At 42.4% G+C, this 15,918-nt stretch overlaps 1 protein-coding gene across 2 annotated transcripts in view, besides 2 other annotated features; it reads left to right on the top strand.

The window, feature by feature from the left end:
- The window catches only part of XPO6 (exportin 6), a 113,990-nt gene that overhangs the window by 61,601 nt on the left and 36,471 nt on the right, over positions 1-15,918 (top strand). For both annotated transcript variants that reach the window (NM_015171.4, NM_001270940.2), the window contains 2 exons: positions 4,162-4,271; positions 15,041-15,149. In NM_015171.4, the coding sequence (NP_055986.1) occupies positions 4,162-4,271; positions 15,041-15,149 (219 nt within the window). The remainder of the gene's footprint in view (positions 1-4,161; positions 4,272-15,040; positions 15,150-15,918) is intronic.
- Positions 3,281-3,796: an enhancer, noted in NCBI's record as "NANOG hESC enhancer chr16:28157890-28158405 (GRCh37/hg19 assembly coordinates)". NCBI's record gives its function as "activates a minimal SCP1, AML or CMV promoter by ChIP-STARR-seq in primed H9 embryonic stem cells {active_cell/tissue: H9 hESC(primed)}" and the evidence as "EXISTENCE:reporter gene assay evidence [ECO:0000049][PMID:30033119]".
- Positions 8,690-8,739: an enhancer, noted in NCBI's record as "active region_10636". NCBI's record gives its function as "activates an Ori minimal core promoter by ATAC-STARR-seq in GM12878 lymphoblastoid cells {active_cell/tissue: GM12878}" and the evidence as "EXISTENCE:reporter gene assay evidence [ECO:0000049][PMID:35858748]".

Here is a 15,918-nt window from a genome sequence, read left to right as displayed (position 1 = left end):
TTTATATATTATATTTATATATTGGGAAAGTAATTGGGGAAAAAGTATGCTCATGAAGCAAACCACAAGCTTCTTTCCTCCTCTCTGTACCTGGAATCGTCAGATGAGCTCCTTTCTGCTCTCCTGTCTCCTGTATGAGGACCTTCCTTTCTGGGAGCAGGCTGGCCACCTGTGGGAGTAGGTATGTCTTTGACGTCCAGACAGAATCAGATTCTGAGCATTAGGTAGAGGGACAGGAACCTGAAAGGTACACTGTCCCAGCTTACTGTGGGTAAACCAGGGCAGACAGCCCTTTGCTGGGGAGGTAGAATGGTGAAAAGGTGGCAAGGTGCACTCTAGGACCAAGGCCTGCTTATAGGGGAGGTCTTTGGAATAAGACTTAAGAATAAGAAATTAAATGATCTCAAGAGACAGCTTTAAGTTCTCATCTGTTCACTAACAAGTATGATCTTACTCTCTCATAGCTTTATTACCTGTAATGTGGGAAAATGTGTCTTTCTCTCGTCTAGAGGGTTATATAAATATATTTAATATTCTTGCCTGTTGTTTCTAAAATTCACAAATTTTAGTACAGTCGTGTGTTGCGTCCCTTAATTGACAGGGATGTGTTCTGATGAATGTGTTAGGTGATGTCATCGTTGTGTGTACATCATAGAGTGCACTTACGCAAGCCTAGATGGGAGAGTCCATCACACAAGTAGGCTAGGTGGTGTAGGCCACAAACCTGTGCAGTGTGTTACTGTGTAGAGTACTACTCTACTATTCTACTGTGTAGAATACTGTAGGCAGCTGTAACACAAGGGTAGGGATTTGTATCTAAACATAGAAAAGGTAGAATAAAAATACAGGGGTTATCTTGAATTGGGCCACTGTCACACATGCAGTCTATTGTTGATGGAAATGTTGTTATATGGTACATGACTGTACTGATGAACATAATTTCGAAGAACAGTCATAAGACAGAAGATGGTGCTAGTATCTTCTTTAACCGTTTCTCCTTTTCTGTTTCTTTTCCTGCATTTTTCTGTAAATGCCCTGCCGCCAGCGCCTCCAGGTAGCAGTGCTCAGCAGGTGTCTGCTGCCTCCTGCCTTGCTTTGCTTGCTGAGCCTCCTGGCTGTCTATAAACCTATGTCTCTGTCTTAATGCTCCTAAGCTTAGTGCGTCCTCACCACTTCCTTCTTGTTCTTGTGTTTTTCATTTTGCCCCTTCTTCCTGAAACTGTGCCTGAGATGGTATACCCTGGGGGGGAGGGCTGTGGACCACAGAGCCTTAAGATCCACCTTCCTTTTGTTTTTTTTTTTTTTTATTTTCTTTTTTTTTGGAGACAGAGTTTCACTCTTGTCGCCCACGCTGGAGTGCGATGGTGCGATCTTGACTTACTGCAACCTCTGCCTCCTGGGTTCAAGCAGTTCTACCTCTCAGCCTCCTGAGTAGCTGGGATTACAGGCAAGCACCATCCCACCCGGCTAATTTTTTGTATTTTTAGTAGAGATAGGGTTTCACCGTGTTGACCAGGCTGGTCTCGAATTCCTGACCTTAGGTGATCCACTTGACTCAGCCTCCCAAAGTGCTGGGATTACAGGTGTGAACCACCGTGCCTGGCCAAGATCCACTTTCTAGTTCTGATTTTGTTCCTTAATTGTCTTGTTACCTTGGGCAAGATACGACTGGACTTGACTTTTGAGCCTTGGTTTCTTTATCTGTAAAAGGGGAAGATGCAAAATATTTGTTCACTTTCCAAGACTTATGAAGATCACATAGACCAATGCAAATGAAAACTAAACACTGTAAACCACTTGGAAGATAGAATGGTATCATTAGTTTCTTAAAGAAACCTGGATTTGTAGCCCTGGAATCTGAAAAGTAAATTGGGGTCTAGGTCCATTTTAAAAATGGGTCTGTGAAGGTTTTGAAAAGTTAGGCGACTTCAAAAATGGAGCCAGCCCATCATCTTGATGACCGGAATGAACCATGTCCACAGCAACTATCAGAGGCCAGGTCATGGGCGGCCTGTGGGCAGTGCACAAGCCCTCGCAGTGGGGCCTGCAGGAATGGATGTGAAAGGTGGTGCTTCAGGTTATACAGGGTGTGTCTGCTCACCTTTCCCCCAGCCTTGAGCATATAGCAAGTCCTCAATTCACATGCATGAAGTTTATATGTATAATTATAAAGTACTTTGACGGAGCCATAATACTTGGATTTATGTGGTAACCTTTCCCAAAGGCACTTCCATATGCATCTGATGAGCTGTGCTCTTTTGAGGGGGCTAGTGGATAGTTTTGAACCAAGGAGGGATAACCTTGGTGATTGACTTGAGGGAAGCTCAGCAAGTTGAACCTAGGACAAGAGTGTGTCTCTTGGATGGGCAAGTCTAGTGGCCTGTCCAAGGACTACTCATATCATTTCTTCTTTTTTTTTGAGACAGGGTCTTGCTCTGTTGTCCAGGCTGGAGTGCAGTGGCACGATCTCAGCTCACTGCAACCTCCGCCTCCTGGATTCAAGCGATTTTCCTGTTAAGCCTCCCGAGTAGCTGGGATCACAGGCGTGCATCGCCATGCTCGGCTAATTTTTGTATTTTTAGTAGAGAAAGGGTTTACACCATGTTGGCCAGGGTGGTCTCAAACTCCTGACCTCAAGAGATCCACCCGCCTGGGCCTCCCAAAGTGTTGGGATTACAGATGTGAGCCACTCGGTCTGGCTGCCGTATCATTTCCATGTGGCTTATTCATTGTTTTTCCTGGTTATTCTCCTGGTTCACTTCATGTCGTGGATATTGTCAGTATTGCCAAGTATGAGGTAGAGACAGGACTTGGTCATTTTGTTTTCTGAGGTTGGTCCTGTCTAGTTCCAGAGCTACCCTTTGGGTCGTGAAGTTGGAATTTGCCTGGCTTTTTAAGTTACACTCTTTTCTTTTTTCTTTCTTTTTCTTCCTTTCCTTTCCTATTTTAATTTTTTTTCTAAAATATACACACCGAGTCTCACTATGTTGCCCAGGCTGGTCTCGAACTCCTGGTCTCAAGCAGTCCACCTGCCGTGGCCTCTCATAATGCTGGAATTACAGGCATGAGCCACCACGCCCAGCCAAGTTACACTTATTCTGTCTCAGACTTCAGCTTAGGTACAGAACTCCCACTGGATACCACCACCCATTGTTAGTTATTTCTTGGGCACCTCCATGTATGCCCTTGTAAACGTCTAGATTTCCATGTGGATCAGCAATGGAAAGAAACTGATCCAAGAAGGTCATGTTATTATTTATTTTCATATTTGATCTTGTCACCAAATATGTGGTCCAGTGAGACAGCCACCAGCAAAACCAAAGGAGTCTTTCAGGTAGTGAGCATTTGAGTGGAGATATCAGGGTTTGGAGCCACAAGTTGAACCTGAATGCATAGGGGAAGGAGTAGCTGTTGGAGATTGTGTTGCCTGGACTTTGCATGAAATAGAGTCTCAGAGCCCTTGAGAAAGTTAACTAGTGCAGTGGTCTTCATTGTACTACTAGGATCCTACAAAGACTTCTCACTTTGTTCCTCCACATCAGCACCTGGTTGGAGGTTGCTATTAGCACGTTTGACACCCTTGCTTTTGCAAATGGGATAATGCCCTGAGGGTCAGACTTAATGAGCTCATTTTCAGTCTGTTCTGTAGGAAGACTGCAAGTGTTACTTTCCTTACATTCAAATGTGTGAACCTGTCACCTTTGGAGCCACTGAAACTGATTTTTGCTTTCGTAATGGTTTGTAATGGAAAGAGCATTGGCTGGGGGTAAAGGGACTTGTTTTTACCTCTGGCCTTGAACAACTTATATCTCTGAATCTCGATTTCTCTCTGGAAAATAGATTTAAACTAGATGATCTGTAAGAGCCCTCTCTACCAGTCTCAGATTTTAAGATAGGTTTTTGCTTGACTTATTTTATAACTCAGTTTATGCTGCACAGTATCTCCCTCATGATGTGTTCCATGGTACCCTTGTCTTGTAAGGTTCAGGAGGGCCCAATGGTATAGACCGACTAAAAGCCACCAGTTTTGGTTACCAGGAAACTGGGGAATCTAGGCTTATGATTTCATCATTCTGCTGGAATTAAACACTGGCATGTGTGTGTTTCTAAGGAATAGTAGCATTAAATAATTTCATTGTCTGGATTTTTTTTGTACCATAGCCTACTCATGAAGGTTACTTCTCTTGTTTGGATATCTGGACGCTGTTTTTGGACTATCTGACAAGTAAAATTAAAAGTCGTCTTGGAGACAAGGAAGCAGTTCTCAACAGGTAAACTCCTCAAACACTGAAAACTAGATATGGTCATTTTGCCAGTTATTCTAGTGGCCTAAGAGACAGCCATGCATTTGGACCTTTTCAGTGAAGCTGAGTCATGTAAGCTGTTTAGGCAATAATGCCATTGAGCATTTCCTTTTTTTTCTCCTTTAAGTATTTTGTTAAGACTTTTTAAAATTTTAAAAGTAATATGTATTACTAATTTTTTATATTTTAGTGCATTTGTGTTAATGTTCTTAATTTTTTAATAGCCCTTATTTTAGAGATACAAACTGAAGTATTTATTGGATAAAATGATATGACATCTGGGATTTGCTTAAATAACCCAGTGGGGGTAGAAGGGAAGTGGGTTCCTGTAGAGAAGAAACAGGCTGCCCATGTGTTGGTGATTGATGTTGGAGTTAGTTCCTAGGAACTTGGGGTTCATTATGTTCTTACCCCATTTGTATGTGTTTGAAAATTTCCTAAATAAATTAATAAATACCTGTTAAGAAAAAGGTGTTCATTTTTAAATCTAGGAAAAGATATAGGAAAATGTAAGGAAGATAAACATAATCCCACACCCCAGAGATAATTGCTTTTGCACTTTTTGTTGTATTTTTAAAAAACAGAGAATGCGGAATGGTTTGTTTCCCCCCCCATATGTTTCTCAAACCCATTTTTCTTGCTTGCAGGAAGAGAGTATATTTCCTGTACAATATGTTCTTTGTGCCACAGGGTGGGGAGAAGAGGAGGGGAAGGTGGAGATTCAGCATGCCAGGAAAATAATGGCAGCATCCATATATGGGGAAAGTAAATGTGGCAGCTTTTCTTAGCAGAAACATACCCATCATAGTCTCAGTAGGTGACTGCATCCCAGTCACACAGTGAGCAGGCAGTCATGAAGGAGGCAAAGAAGCTATATTTTGCATTTTAGGATCAGAGTAGTTTCCTAATAAACTAAAACTGATTCGTGTAATTTGTATATTTATGCTATGAGATTACAAACTAGGTGATCTAGCCCTAAGTACTTTATCATACTTAACAGAGTGCCTGCAGATTTTACTCAGTTTGGTTATAGCTCCTACTTCTTTGCACAGTATTTATAAGAGCAATTTCAGATTAGGTGGTCATTGTGTTGTAAAACCAGTGCATGAGGGGGTTCTGTCGAGTGGAAGCCATGACGGGGAATCGCACAGACCTATGTTTGGATCCTGGTTTTGTAGTTCCTACCTAGGGGTACTTGGGTAAGGTACTTAGCCTGTGGAAGCTTCTGTTTCCTCATTTGTAAAATGAGGATGAAAATAATAGTTGTTGAGACATTAATTGAAATAACGAACTAACATATTTAGAATGCTTGGCACACTGCAAGTGTTCACCTGGTGGTGGTGTTAGTGAATACTCTTTCCCCATAAATGTACCAAATGGAGGAAGGTGGAGAGGAGAGACTCCACTGCAGAGAAAAGGTTGGGCTGGAACTCCAAAGGCTTTTCCATTGCTGAGGTTTTATGAGTTTAAAAAATTCTAAACAGGACCTAGATGTGGTAGTATGTACCTGTAGTCTCAGCCACATGGGAGGCTGAGGCAGAAGAATCGCTGGAGCTCAGGAGTTCAGAACTGTTGTGTGCAGTGATCACGCTGTGGCTGGCCACTGCTCTCCAGGCTGGGAACATAGTGAGACTCCTTGTGTCTCTTGGTACCAGTCACTGGTACCATTTGCTGAACTCTGTCTCTATTGAAAATTAAAATAAATAAATATGCAAATATTCTGTTGAGAATTTTATTTTCCAAGTTTAAACATTTGTTCTTTTGTTCCCAAAGATGGTTTTTGTAATTGTGGAATAAGTTCCAGGTTGCTATGGTGTCAGGTCACATGTGTGATTATAGGTAGTACGTTCATATATCAGAAATCGTATTACACACAGGAGATCCTGTTTTTGGTGAAGTTGCCAACTTTAAGTAATTATGTTTTTGAAATGAGATTCTTGAAGGAAAAGTTACTTTTGCCAAAATAATCTTTCTTGCATGCTAAATAGGCATATCTTTTTGGTTCTGGGACTATGCCTCATTTTTCTATATTTAGTGGTAGATATTCCTTCATATCTCTCAAGCTTGTTGTGAGAATAAACTGAGGAAATGATTAATATGAAAATGCTTTTTAAAAAACAGTACAAGGCCGAGTGCGGTGGCTCCTGCCTGTAATCCCAGCGCTTTAGGAGGCCAAGGCAGGGGGACCACGAGGTCAGGAGTTCAAGACCAGCCTGGCTGAGAAGGTGAAACCCTGTCTCTACTAAAAACACAAAAATTAGCTGGGCGTGGTGGCAGGCATCTGTAATCCCAGCTACTTGGGAGGCTGAGGCAGGAGAATCTCCTGAACCCGGGTGGCAGAGGTTGCAGTGAGCCAAGATCATACCACTGGACTCCAGCCTAGGCGACAGAATGAGACTGTTTAAAAAAACAAAAACAAAGTACAAATGAGAGATGTGAAGAATATGGTCCTGTTGAGAAAATATATACTAGCAGATTATTAGTATTAAACACACACTTTTGCAGATCATTATACTAATAGAGCAGTGGTATAGAGAATTTAAATTCTTTTTTTGCTTTAGGCTAGCCGTGTTACTTTTGGTCAAGTTATATGCTGATCACATTTCCTCTTGCAAAATGGACGTACTTAACACTTCTCTTGCAGGATGGTTAGGATTCAAGGAAATCATGTATGTAAAATACCTGGCACAGCATCTAGATGTATTAGGCACTCAGTAAATGGTCACAGTGATGACAACAGCAATGATGAATAATAGAAGATGTTACTGCCTTTAGACTGTGGTTGTGACTGTAGCGTTAGGTGGCATGGCCCCTGGACAGTCTAAAGGCCTTTAGCCCACCTGCAGATGTTTACCTGCCTGCCCTGGCATCTGTTGTCTAATGTCACAGTTGTCAGTTGTTCTGGCTGACCACTTGAAACAGTGGGAATTTTTCTCATTGATCATGTGATTATCATCCTAAATGAGGCTTTTTAATTTTTCATGATTTATTCTTTTTTAAACATAACACTTTCATATAATGCCTTTATGCCTTTGAAAAATAAAACAACAGGCCAAGTGCCATTGCTCATTCTTGTAATCCCAGCACTTTGGGAGACTGAGGCAGGAGGATCACTTGAGGGCAGGAGTTTGAGACCAGCCCGGCCTACATAATGAGACCCTGTCTCTACAAAAACTTAAAAAACAAATTAGCCAGACATGGTAGTGTGCACGTGTAGTTCCAGCTCCTTGTGGGGACCAAGGTGGGAGGATCACTTGAGCCCAGGAGTTTGAGACCAGCCTGGGCAACATAGCAAGACTCTGTCTGTACAAAAAATACAAAAATTATCCAGGCATGGTGGTGCATGCCTGTAGTCCCGGCTACTCAGGAGGCTGAAGCAGGAGGACTGCTTAAGCCCAGGAGTTGGAGGCCACAGTGAGCTATGATCATGCCATTGCACTCCAGCCTGGGCGACAGAGCAAGACTCTGTCTCTAAAATAAAATAAAACAACAACAACAACAAAAACCCCTCCAAGCTCCTCTGGTTAGTGCTGTTAAATAGTAACCACCGTCTGGGGAACTGCATGTCCTGTCAGATACCCCTTAGTGGTCTAAGACAGTAGACTACAAAGAACATGTGTTAGTCCAGTGGGCTGCACAAAGAAAATATTTCAACTTCAGCTTATAATTTTTTCTGTAACCCTTAACATTCACCACTCCAGACTATGAGAGACTCTTAATATATCAGAGATATGCTGTTTTGCAGGAGCAGCTGCTGAAGAACACTGGCTTCTGGTGATGACCACATTTATGTTAACTAAGAGCATGCACATGTGATCAAATGTTTGTCAACTGATAAAATATACCAGAGAGAAGTTGGGATGTTCTGGAATCATATTTCAGAAGCAACTAATCTTGCAGGAAGTAGTCAAAAATGTTTTCTTGCTGTCTTAAATGGGAAATGTAGGTGTGGTTAAGTCACAAAGGCAGCACTCATTTCCTGTCCCCTGTGGTTTAAAGGTTTTGCATCATTCATCACAACAAAGTGGTAAGCATTGTAGGCTACAAATTTAGAAGCACAAATATACATAGATTTATTTTTGGTCCTAGGAGCTTGGAAATTGGAGCTCTGCATGCTCACTTGCCTGGTCAGGAGCGCAGTGGCGCGATCTTGGCTCGCTGCAAGCTCCGCCTCCTGGGTTTACACCATTCTCCTGCCTCAGCCTTCCGAGTAGCTGGGACTACAGGTGCCCGCCACCACGCCCGGCTAATTTTTTGTATTTTTATTAGAGACGGGGTTTCACCGTGTTAGCCAGGGTGGTCTCGATCTCCTGACCTCATGATCCACCCGCCTCGGCCTCCCAAAGTGCTGGGATTACAGGTGTGAGAGGAATTTCTTGATGAGAGACTGTGGGGACTTGAGAGAGCCTGAGCCCCAGTGTTAATGGGGTAAATGTTCTGTAGCCATTCCTGCAGAGTGGAATGGCCGATGGGGTAGATCATCCTGATCTGTATTTTGAGGTGGTGGCATGGAAAGGCCCGGATTTTCCTTTCCCTTTCCTTGTTTGTGCTTTTGGATGGTTGTGCCTTCCTCACAGATTGTTGAGAAAGTGGGATGAACTAATGAGCGTAAAGTGCCTTGGCTGACAGTAGGTGCTCAGCAAATAAGCATTGGTTCACCTCCCCTTTCTCTCTCACTTCCGGCTCTTTGTGCTTGTCAATGTGAAGGGAGTCACCTGTGTAGAAACTTATTTTTACAGGAAGGTGAAGAAACCTGAGTGTGTGAAGCAACCTAAAGTCATTGTGTCATGTTCTGTGAGCCTCTTTGTGACTAGACTTCTGGCAAGTGCTGGCCACAAACCAACGTAGGGATTCTGGTGACATTAGATAGGACTGTAAACAAATGTGAGTGAGGGTGAGAAAAACTGCTCCTTGCTTTTTGGAGTGGGTGAACCTGCTTAATAAAGAGGAAGTGCCACTGTTACACATGACATTGTGGTGCAATAAAGGTGTGAACTAGGTTTAGATCAGAGCTCTAGCAGCTTTCTAGTTCTTGCTCTTGACTGCCCCACAGGGCAAGTGAATAGAGTCTTAGTTGCTTTATTGAGTTGAAAAAGCTATCCAGGAATATGCTTCAATCCTTTGTATTTACCTGACTTGGAATTTTGTCTGTTTATCACCTGTGTGTTTTTCATTCATTTCTTTGTTCATTTGTTCTTTATTCATATATATTTTATTGAGCACCTACTATGTAGTTGCCTTAACATGTATAATTTTATTTAACTCTCAGAACTTGAGGCTTATAGGCTTATCTCTGTGGTGTATATAAGCATTTAATGCTGTAAATTTCCTTCTAAGCCCTGCTTTAGCTTTATCCCTCAAAAAAAATTTTTTTTTTTTTTTTTGAGACGGGGTCTCACTCTGTCACCAGGCTGGAGTGCAGTGGCGTGATCTTGGCTCACTGCAACCTCTGCTTCCCGGGTTCAAGCAATTCTCCTGCCCCAGCCTCCCGAGTAGCTGGGATTACAGGCACAAACCACCACACTCAGCTAATTTTTGTATTTTCAGTAGAGACAGGGTTTCACCATGTTGGTCAGGTTGGTCTCAATCTCATGACCTTGTGATCCGCCCGCCTTGGCCTCCCAAAGTGCTGGGATTACAGGCGTGAGCCACCACGCCCGGCTATCCTTCAAATTTTAATGTTACATTTTAATTTTCATTTGATTTAAAATATTTTCTAATTTCTTTGGAGATTTCCTGTTTAGTTTCCGAATATTTGGGGATTTTCCATATACCTTTTTGTTATTGTTTTCTAGTTTAATTTGTACATGTCTTTTTTTTTTTTTTTTTGAGATGGGGTCTTGCTCTGTCACCCAGGCTGGAGTGCAATGGTGTGATCTCGGCTCACTGCAACCTCCACCTCCCAGGTTCAAGCGATTCTCCTGCCTCAGCCTCCCAAGTAGCTGGGATTACAGGTGCCCGCCACCACGCCTGGCTAATTTTTGTATTTTTAGTAGAGACAGGGTTTTGCCACGTTGGCCAGGCTGGTCTGGAACTCCTGACCTCAGGTGATCCGCCTGCCTTGGCCTCCCAAAGTGCTGGGATTACAGGCGTGAGCCACTGCGCCCAGCCTGTACATGTTGTCTTTATCCTACTTATTCTATCAGTTACTGAGAGGGGGGTGAATTCTCCAAAAATAATTTTGGATTTGTCTGTCTCCTTTTAGTTTGATCAGTTTTTGCTTCATTTATTTTGAGACTCTGTTAGTTGCATACACATTTAGTTTTCTTTTCCAGTGTGTCTATTGAGTGTTGGACCACATTTCTTTATGTGGGTTTTTTTGGTGGTTGCTCTGGGTATTACAGTATATATACTTAACTTTTCAGAGTCACATTTTACCACAAGGGTGGTATGGAAACCTTACCACCATATAGATTAGAGTCCTTTAGCCTCTCTTCTTTATATTGAGGTTTTACATATACATACTTGGAAAACCCCACCAGACAGTGTTCTAATTTATACACGTACCCATCATTCATATTTTATAGCTCTTAAGAAGAAAGAAGTAGTCTATTAGATTTACCCAGACATTGCCATTTCTCTTGCTTTTCCTTCCTTCTTGAAGTTCCAGGTTTCTTTCTCATATTGTTTACCTTCTCTATTAGTTAGATTGGGCTACCATAACAAAATACCACAGGCTGGCCTTAAACAACAGAAATTTATTTTCTCTTAGTTTTGGAGTCTAGAAGTTCCACTTCAAGATGCTGGCAGATTCTGTTTCTGTGAGCTCTCTTGGTAGCTTGCAGATGGCGCCTTCTCTCTGAATGCTCACGTGGCCTTTCTTGTGTGCATGTGAGGAAAGGGAGGGAGAGAACCCTTGTGTCTCTTCATCTTCTCATAAGGGCAACAGTCCTATTGGATTAAGGCCCTACTCTTTGACCTCACATAACTTTATTACCTTTTTATAGGCCCTGTCTTCAAATACAGACACATTGAGGGTTAGGCTTCAATATATGAATGAGTACTTTTTGGGGGAAGAGTCGCACAATTCAGACCATAGAGGAACCTCATGGAGCATTGTTATTATAGCTGTTTTAGAGTCATCGATAATTCCAACACCTTTGTCATCTTGAGGTTGGCATCTGTCGATTGTCTTCTCCTTGAGAAGTTGTGTCTCTTTGAGTAGCAAGTAATTTTTTGAATCCTCTTACTTATTTGTTCTACCATTAGGCGTGGCTTCCCTCTCCATCATCATCTTATGGTCAGAGATGGATGCTGGATGATGCTACAGACATCATACCCATGATTCAGGCAGTAGGAACGAGAAGTGGGATAGGTTGGGCAAAAGAAGCTTTCTTAGAAGTCCCACCCAGTAGCTGCTTTTAGGCTCTCGTTGACCGCCCCCATCTTCAGGGGAGATGTTGTCCTTGAGTTGGCCTCAATACCCAGTGCTCTCTTGCTGAGGAAGGAGAATGGGTATTGGGCAGGCAACCAGAGTGTCTGCCACAGCCATATACTTTCTCCACCTCCCACATGACACTTTGGGAGATCAGTGATCTATGTGCATGTTTGCCTGGTTCCTACTTGGACTTAATTTTCTAAGCGATACGGGTTTTTTTTGCAGCCAGAGTTGCCAATTGCCAGTTAAGATTTTAGGTCTAATTTAGGGTTACATTTGCATAGAAAGTCTCTAAATTTCCTTTTAGCACAGCAAGACAATTTATAGATGACAAAATTCATCTGTCCTCTGGTCTGAAGTAGATTTTCTTTCCTAGGAGAATTGTGGAAATATTTTGATCTGTCACAGCAATTTATAGTGTGGAACTTCTGTAACTTTAGAAATTTATGTCTTGAACAAAGGCAAAAACATAAACTCTAGGCCTAAATGTTTGATCTTACCTTTCTATGGAGTTTACTAAGTGGGATTTTGACTTTATTGGGTGAATTTTCCCACAGACGTTGCAGATTTTATTAGTGCCTTTTTCCCTGCCGGCATTCTTTCCTGGGCCCTGTTCAGTTGCTAGTCTACTTTAGGGCTGGCGTGTGTTAGGTTGTTAAGTCGTTTGCATACAGTTGGGGAGTCATTGCTGGATATGGGCAAGTAGGGAGTGTCTCTGTCTCTAGTTAAGAAACGAGCTGTCGGGAGCTAAATAGTGGGTGCTCGTGGACATAGGATGGCAACAACAGACACTGGAGACTGATAGAGAGGGAGTGGGGAGGAGGGCAGGGGCTGAAAAGCTATTGGGTACTATGCTCAGTGCCTGGGTGAGGAGATCAGTTATACCTCAAACCTCAGCATCACGCAGTATACTCCGGTAACCAGTCTGTACATGTATCCCCTGAATCTAACATAAAAGTTGAAATTATGTTAAAAAATAAGTAAATAAATACAAATGTCAATTTTGGCATAGGTTAAATTTTTAAGTTAAAAAAAAAAAAGATACTCTGGTCACCAAAATCTGAAATGGGACAATCCAGGAGGATTTGTAAGTGGTCTGTAGACTGATTCTCATCACATGGGCTGTACCTCCTGGACTAAATGGACTGTATTTGGTCTTGGTATTGGATATCTTTTAACTTTGGTTATCATGTTGTCCCAGTACTCAACTGTATTAGATTGGGTGGTGTATTAGAGTCCTGTCAGGAAATCAGAAACCATACTTAATTATTTGAACAGAAAATTCATTTTAGGAAATTGATTAAATAGGTTTCAGAGGAAACACTGAGATAACACAGTTGATAAGTACAGGAAGTGGCTTCACCCCTAAGGCTAGAAGTACAAAGGCAAGAAGCTGGGGCTGTCAAAATCTGGAAGATCACTGCTTGGTCCCTGAGCAACTAGGGTTCAGATCTCTGAAGAGAGGGCCCCATCTAGCTGCCACAGGAGTTCAGAGGAGGGATCTTTTCGAACTGGGACCATTCCTTTGAGGAGAGGGTGTTGCCTCCACCTCTGAGGGTGCACGATACTAGTTCTGGGAATGTGGAATGAAGCTGGAAACCGGAACCAGTTGCTTCTGCCAGGTGTCTGTTGCTGGGGCAGCACTGCCAGGACAGCAAGCCCACAGGAAGGATGCAGTCCTTTTGTCCCTTCTGCCTTCCAGTCTCCCTCCAGTGTCCCTGCTGGCAGAACCTAACAGACCGAAACAAAGTGTCCTTTGAGTCTCAGCCCCAGCATCATAGCTTTGGAGAGCAGATTGATGTGGAGAGCTTACTAACCAGCACTGGTGGTTTGCTCTGTGAATGGGAGCAGTCCCTTAACTTATCTTAGAAGCGTTTCAGGATAGGCGAGTATTTAGGCAACATGATTTGTTCTTGAAAATGAGCAGTTTGTTGGTCCTTGTGGTAGCAATTGTTGCTTATAACTTGGTATCTTCTGAGTTGGGTTCTTATTACATGTGGGAAATATCCAAACCTACCGCTCTGAGTATTTCTTTGAGAAATTATTCTTAGACACAAATCAAAGGGTCAGGGTTTCCCCAGGCTCTTTTTAGTTTCTAAGTCTTCTTAAAATGGACTAAAGATTAGGTTTTGGGAGTTGGGTGGAGCAGGCTTAAAACCCATTGGTGCTGGGCGCGGGATCACGCCTGTAATCCTGACACTTTGGGAGGTCGAGGCAGGTGGATCATCTGAGGTCGGGATTTCAAGACCAATCTGGCCAACATGGCGAAATCCTGTCTCTACTAAAAATACAAAAATTAGCCAGACCTAGTGGGTCATGCCTGTAATCCCAGCCACTCGGGAGGCTGAGGCATGAGAATCACTGAACCTGGGGAGGCGGAGGTTGGAGTGAGCCAAGATTGCGCCGTTGCACTTCAGCCTGGGTGACAGAGGAGACTCTGTCTCCAAAAACAAAAACAAAACAAAACAAAACAAAACACTTCATTGGTGATTTATGTGTAGCGAGAACATGATTTTGAATTAGGGGGCCCTAGGTTCGAAATAGCTTTGTGGCCTTGGGCAGTTTATTTAACTTCTGTTAATTGTTGTTTCCTCATCAGAAAAATATTGATACCATTTACTTCTCACAGCTGTTAAAAGCATGAAATCATTGAATTAGGTAATATTTATATGCAGTGCCTATCATCCCCAGAGCAGCTGCTAAGATCATAACTTGAAAATACTTAGTAAAAGAAAGGACAAGGGATTTAAAATGCAGCACTAGAAAATACCTGTTTGACACAAAAGAAGGCAGGAATGGAGGAATTGAGGAACATAAGTCATAGAAAATAAATAGCAAAATGGCAAAAATGAGGCCTTCCTTATCAGTAATTACATTACATTTAGTGGATTAGATTCTCCTGTTAAAAAAGGCAGAGAACAGATTTTTTAAAGCCACGACCCAATGACGTGTTGTCTACAAGAGACTCACTTTGGATTCAGATACAAATAGATTGCAAGTAAAAAGATGGAAAGAGATATTCCGTGCAAAAAGTAGCCAAAAGAAAGCTCGGGTCACTATACTAATAGGAGACAAAATATATTTTAAGACAGAAATTATTGCCAGAGACAAAAAAGGCTGTTATATAAACAGTCTGTCAGGAAGATACATGGTGCCTGGTACGTCATTAAATAAATACCTCTGCTTCTCTTCCATGGGCGCACACACGTACCAACCCATAAACTCAGCCTCAGGAATTTCGATGCTCTTTTTCCATGGTGATCAACATAGACACCATTTCTTTTATAGTGCAGGAGGCATTTTCCAAATTCTAAGCTGAAAGCCTCCTTTCAATGTTGAATTTCTCCCTGCCACATAGGTACGAAGATGCCCTGGTGCTCCTGCTCACAGAGGTGTTGAATCGAATCCAGTTCAGATACAACCAAGCCCAGCTGGAGGAGTTGGATGATGAGACTCTGGATGACGATGTAAGCGGCATGCCCTGATTGATTTTTTGTCGCTGTCATGTTGTGACATCAATCAGAATGGGGACCTGGAACCCAGAGCCCTCTGCTCCGAAGACTGTTCTGAAACCAGAGTAGTCTTCTGGTTTGAGTCGTACATTTGAAATTTTTAATCTCCTGCTGGTCCCTTTTGGCTTATTAACCATAAAAAATGTTTTACAGGCTTTTTTATCTATGTGGACTAGAGATGTAAGTAGAGAAACCATATGCACAATGAAAAACGGTTTAGTGAGAACTCTGTATCCTCTCTGTCTCCCCTGCCTTGCACCCTCACCTCTGCTCCCCAACCTGGGCAGCAGTAACAGCTAGCTGGATGCTTGTGGAGACCGTTAGCAAGATACTGAACCGATAAGGCTAGAATGAAAGGAAGTCTGTTTGGAGTACATTATGCAAACTTCTGCTTCTTAAAATCAGCCTTGAATTTATTGATGCTGATGTGCCCAACATTAATAAGGAAAATGTCTTTAAGGAAACAATTCCAGTGTTTTTTTTTAAACCATTAGGCACTTTAAAATTTTTCAAATAACTGCTGCTCTTCTCAAAGTAAGAGTGACTGCGGCATGGTCAAGAGCTTATGGGTGGTCATATTTGGGTTACAGAGAGCCCTTTGCTTAGAGCCAGATGGCCTGGGTTTGAAGCTCTGCAACCTTGGGCATGGAGGAGATTGGAGGGCTGGGTGTGGCATTTCTGTGAGCCTTAATGTCCTCATCTCCCAAAAGGGGAGTGACGTGTC

This window comes from Homo sapiens, chromosome 16, assembly GCF_000001405.40.
Source record: "Homo sapiens chromosome 16, GRCh38.p14 Primary Assembly".
Taxonomy (NCBI): domain Eukaryota; kingdom Metazoa; phylum Chordata; class Mammalia; order Primates; family Hominidae; genus Homo; species Homo sapiens.
The sequence above is the reverse complement of the archived record's forward strand: the minus strand, read 5'-3'. Positions and strand labels throughout refer to the sequence as shown.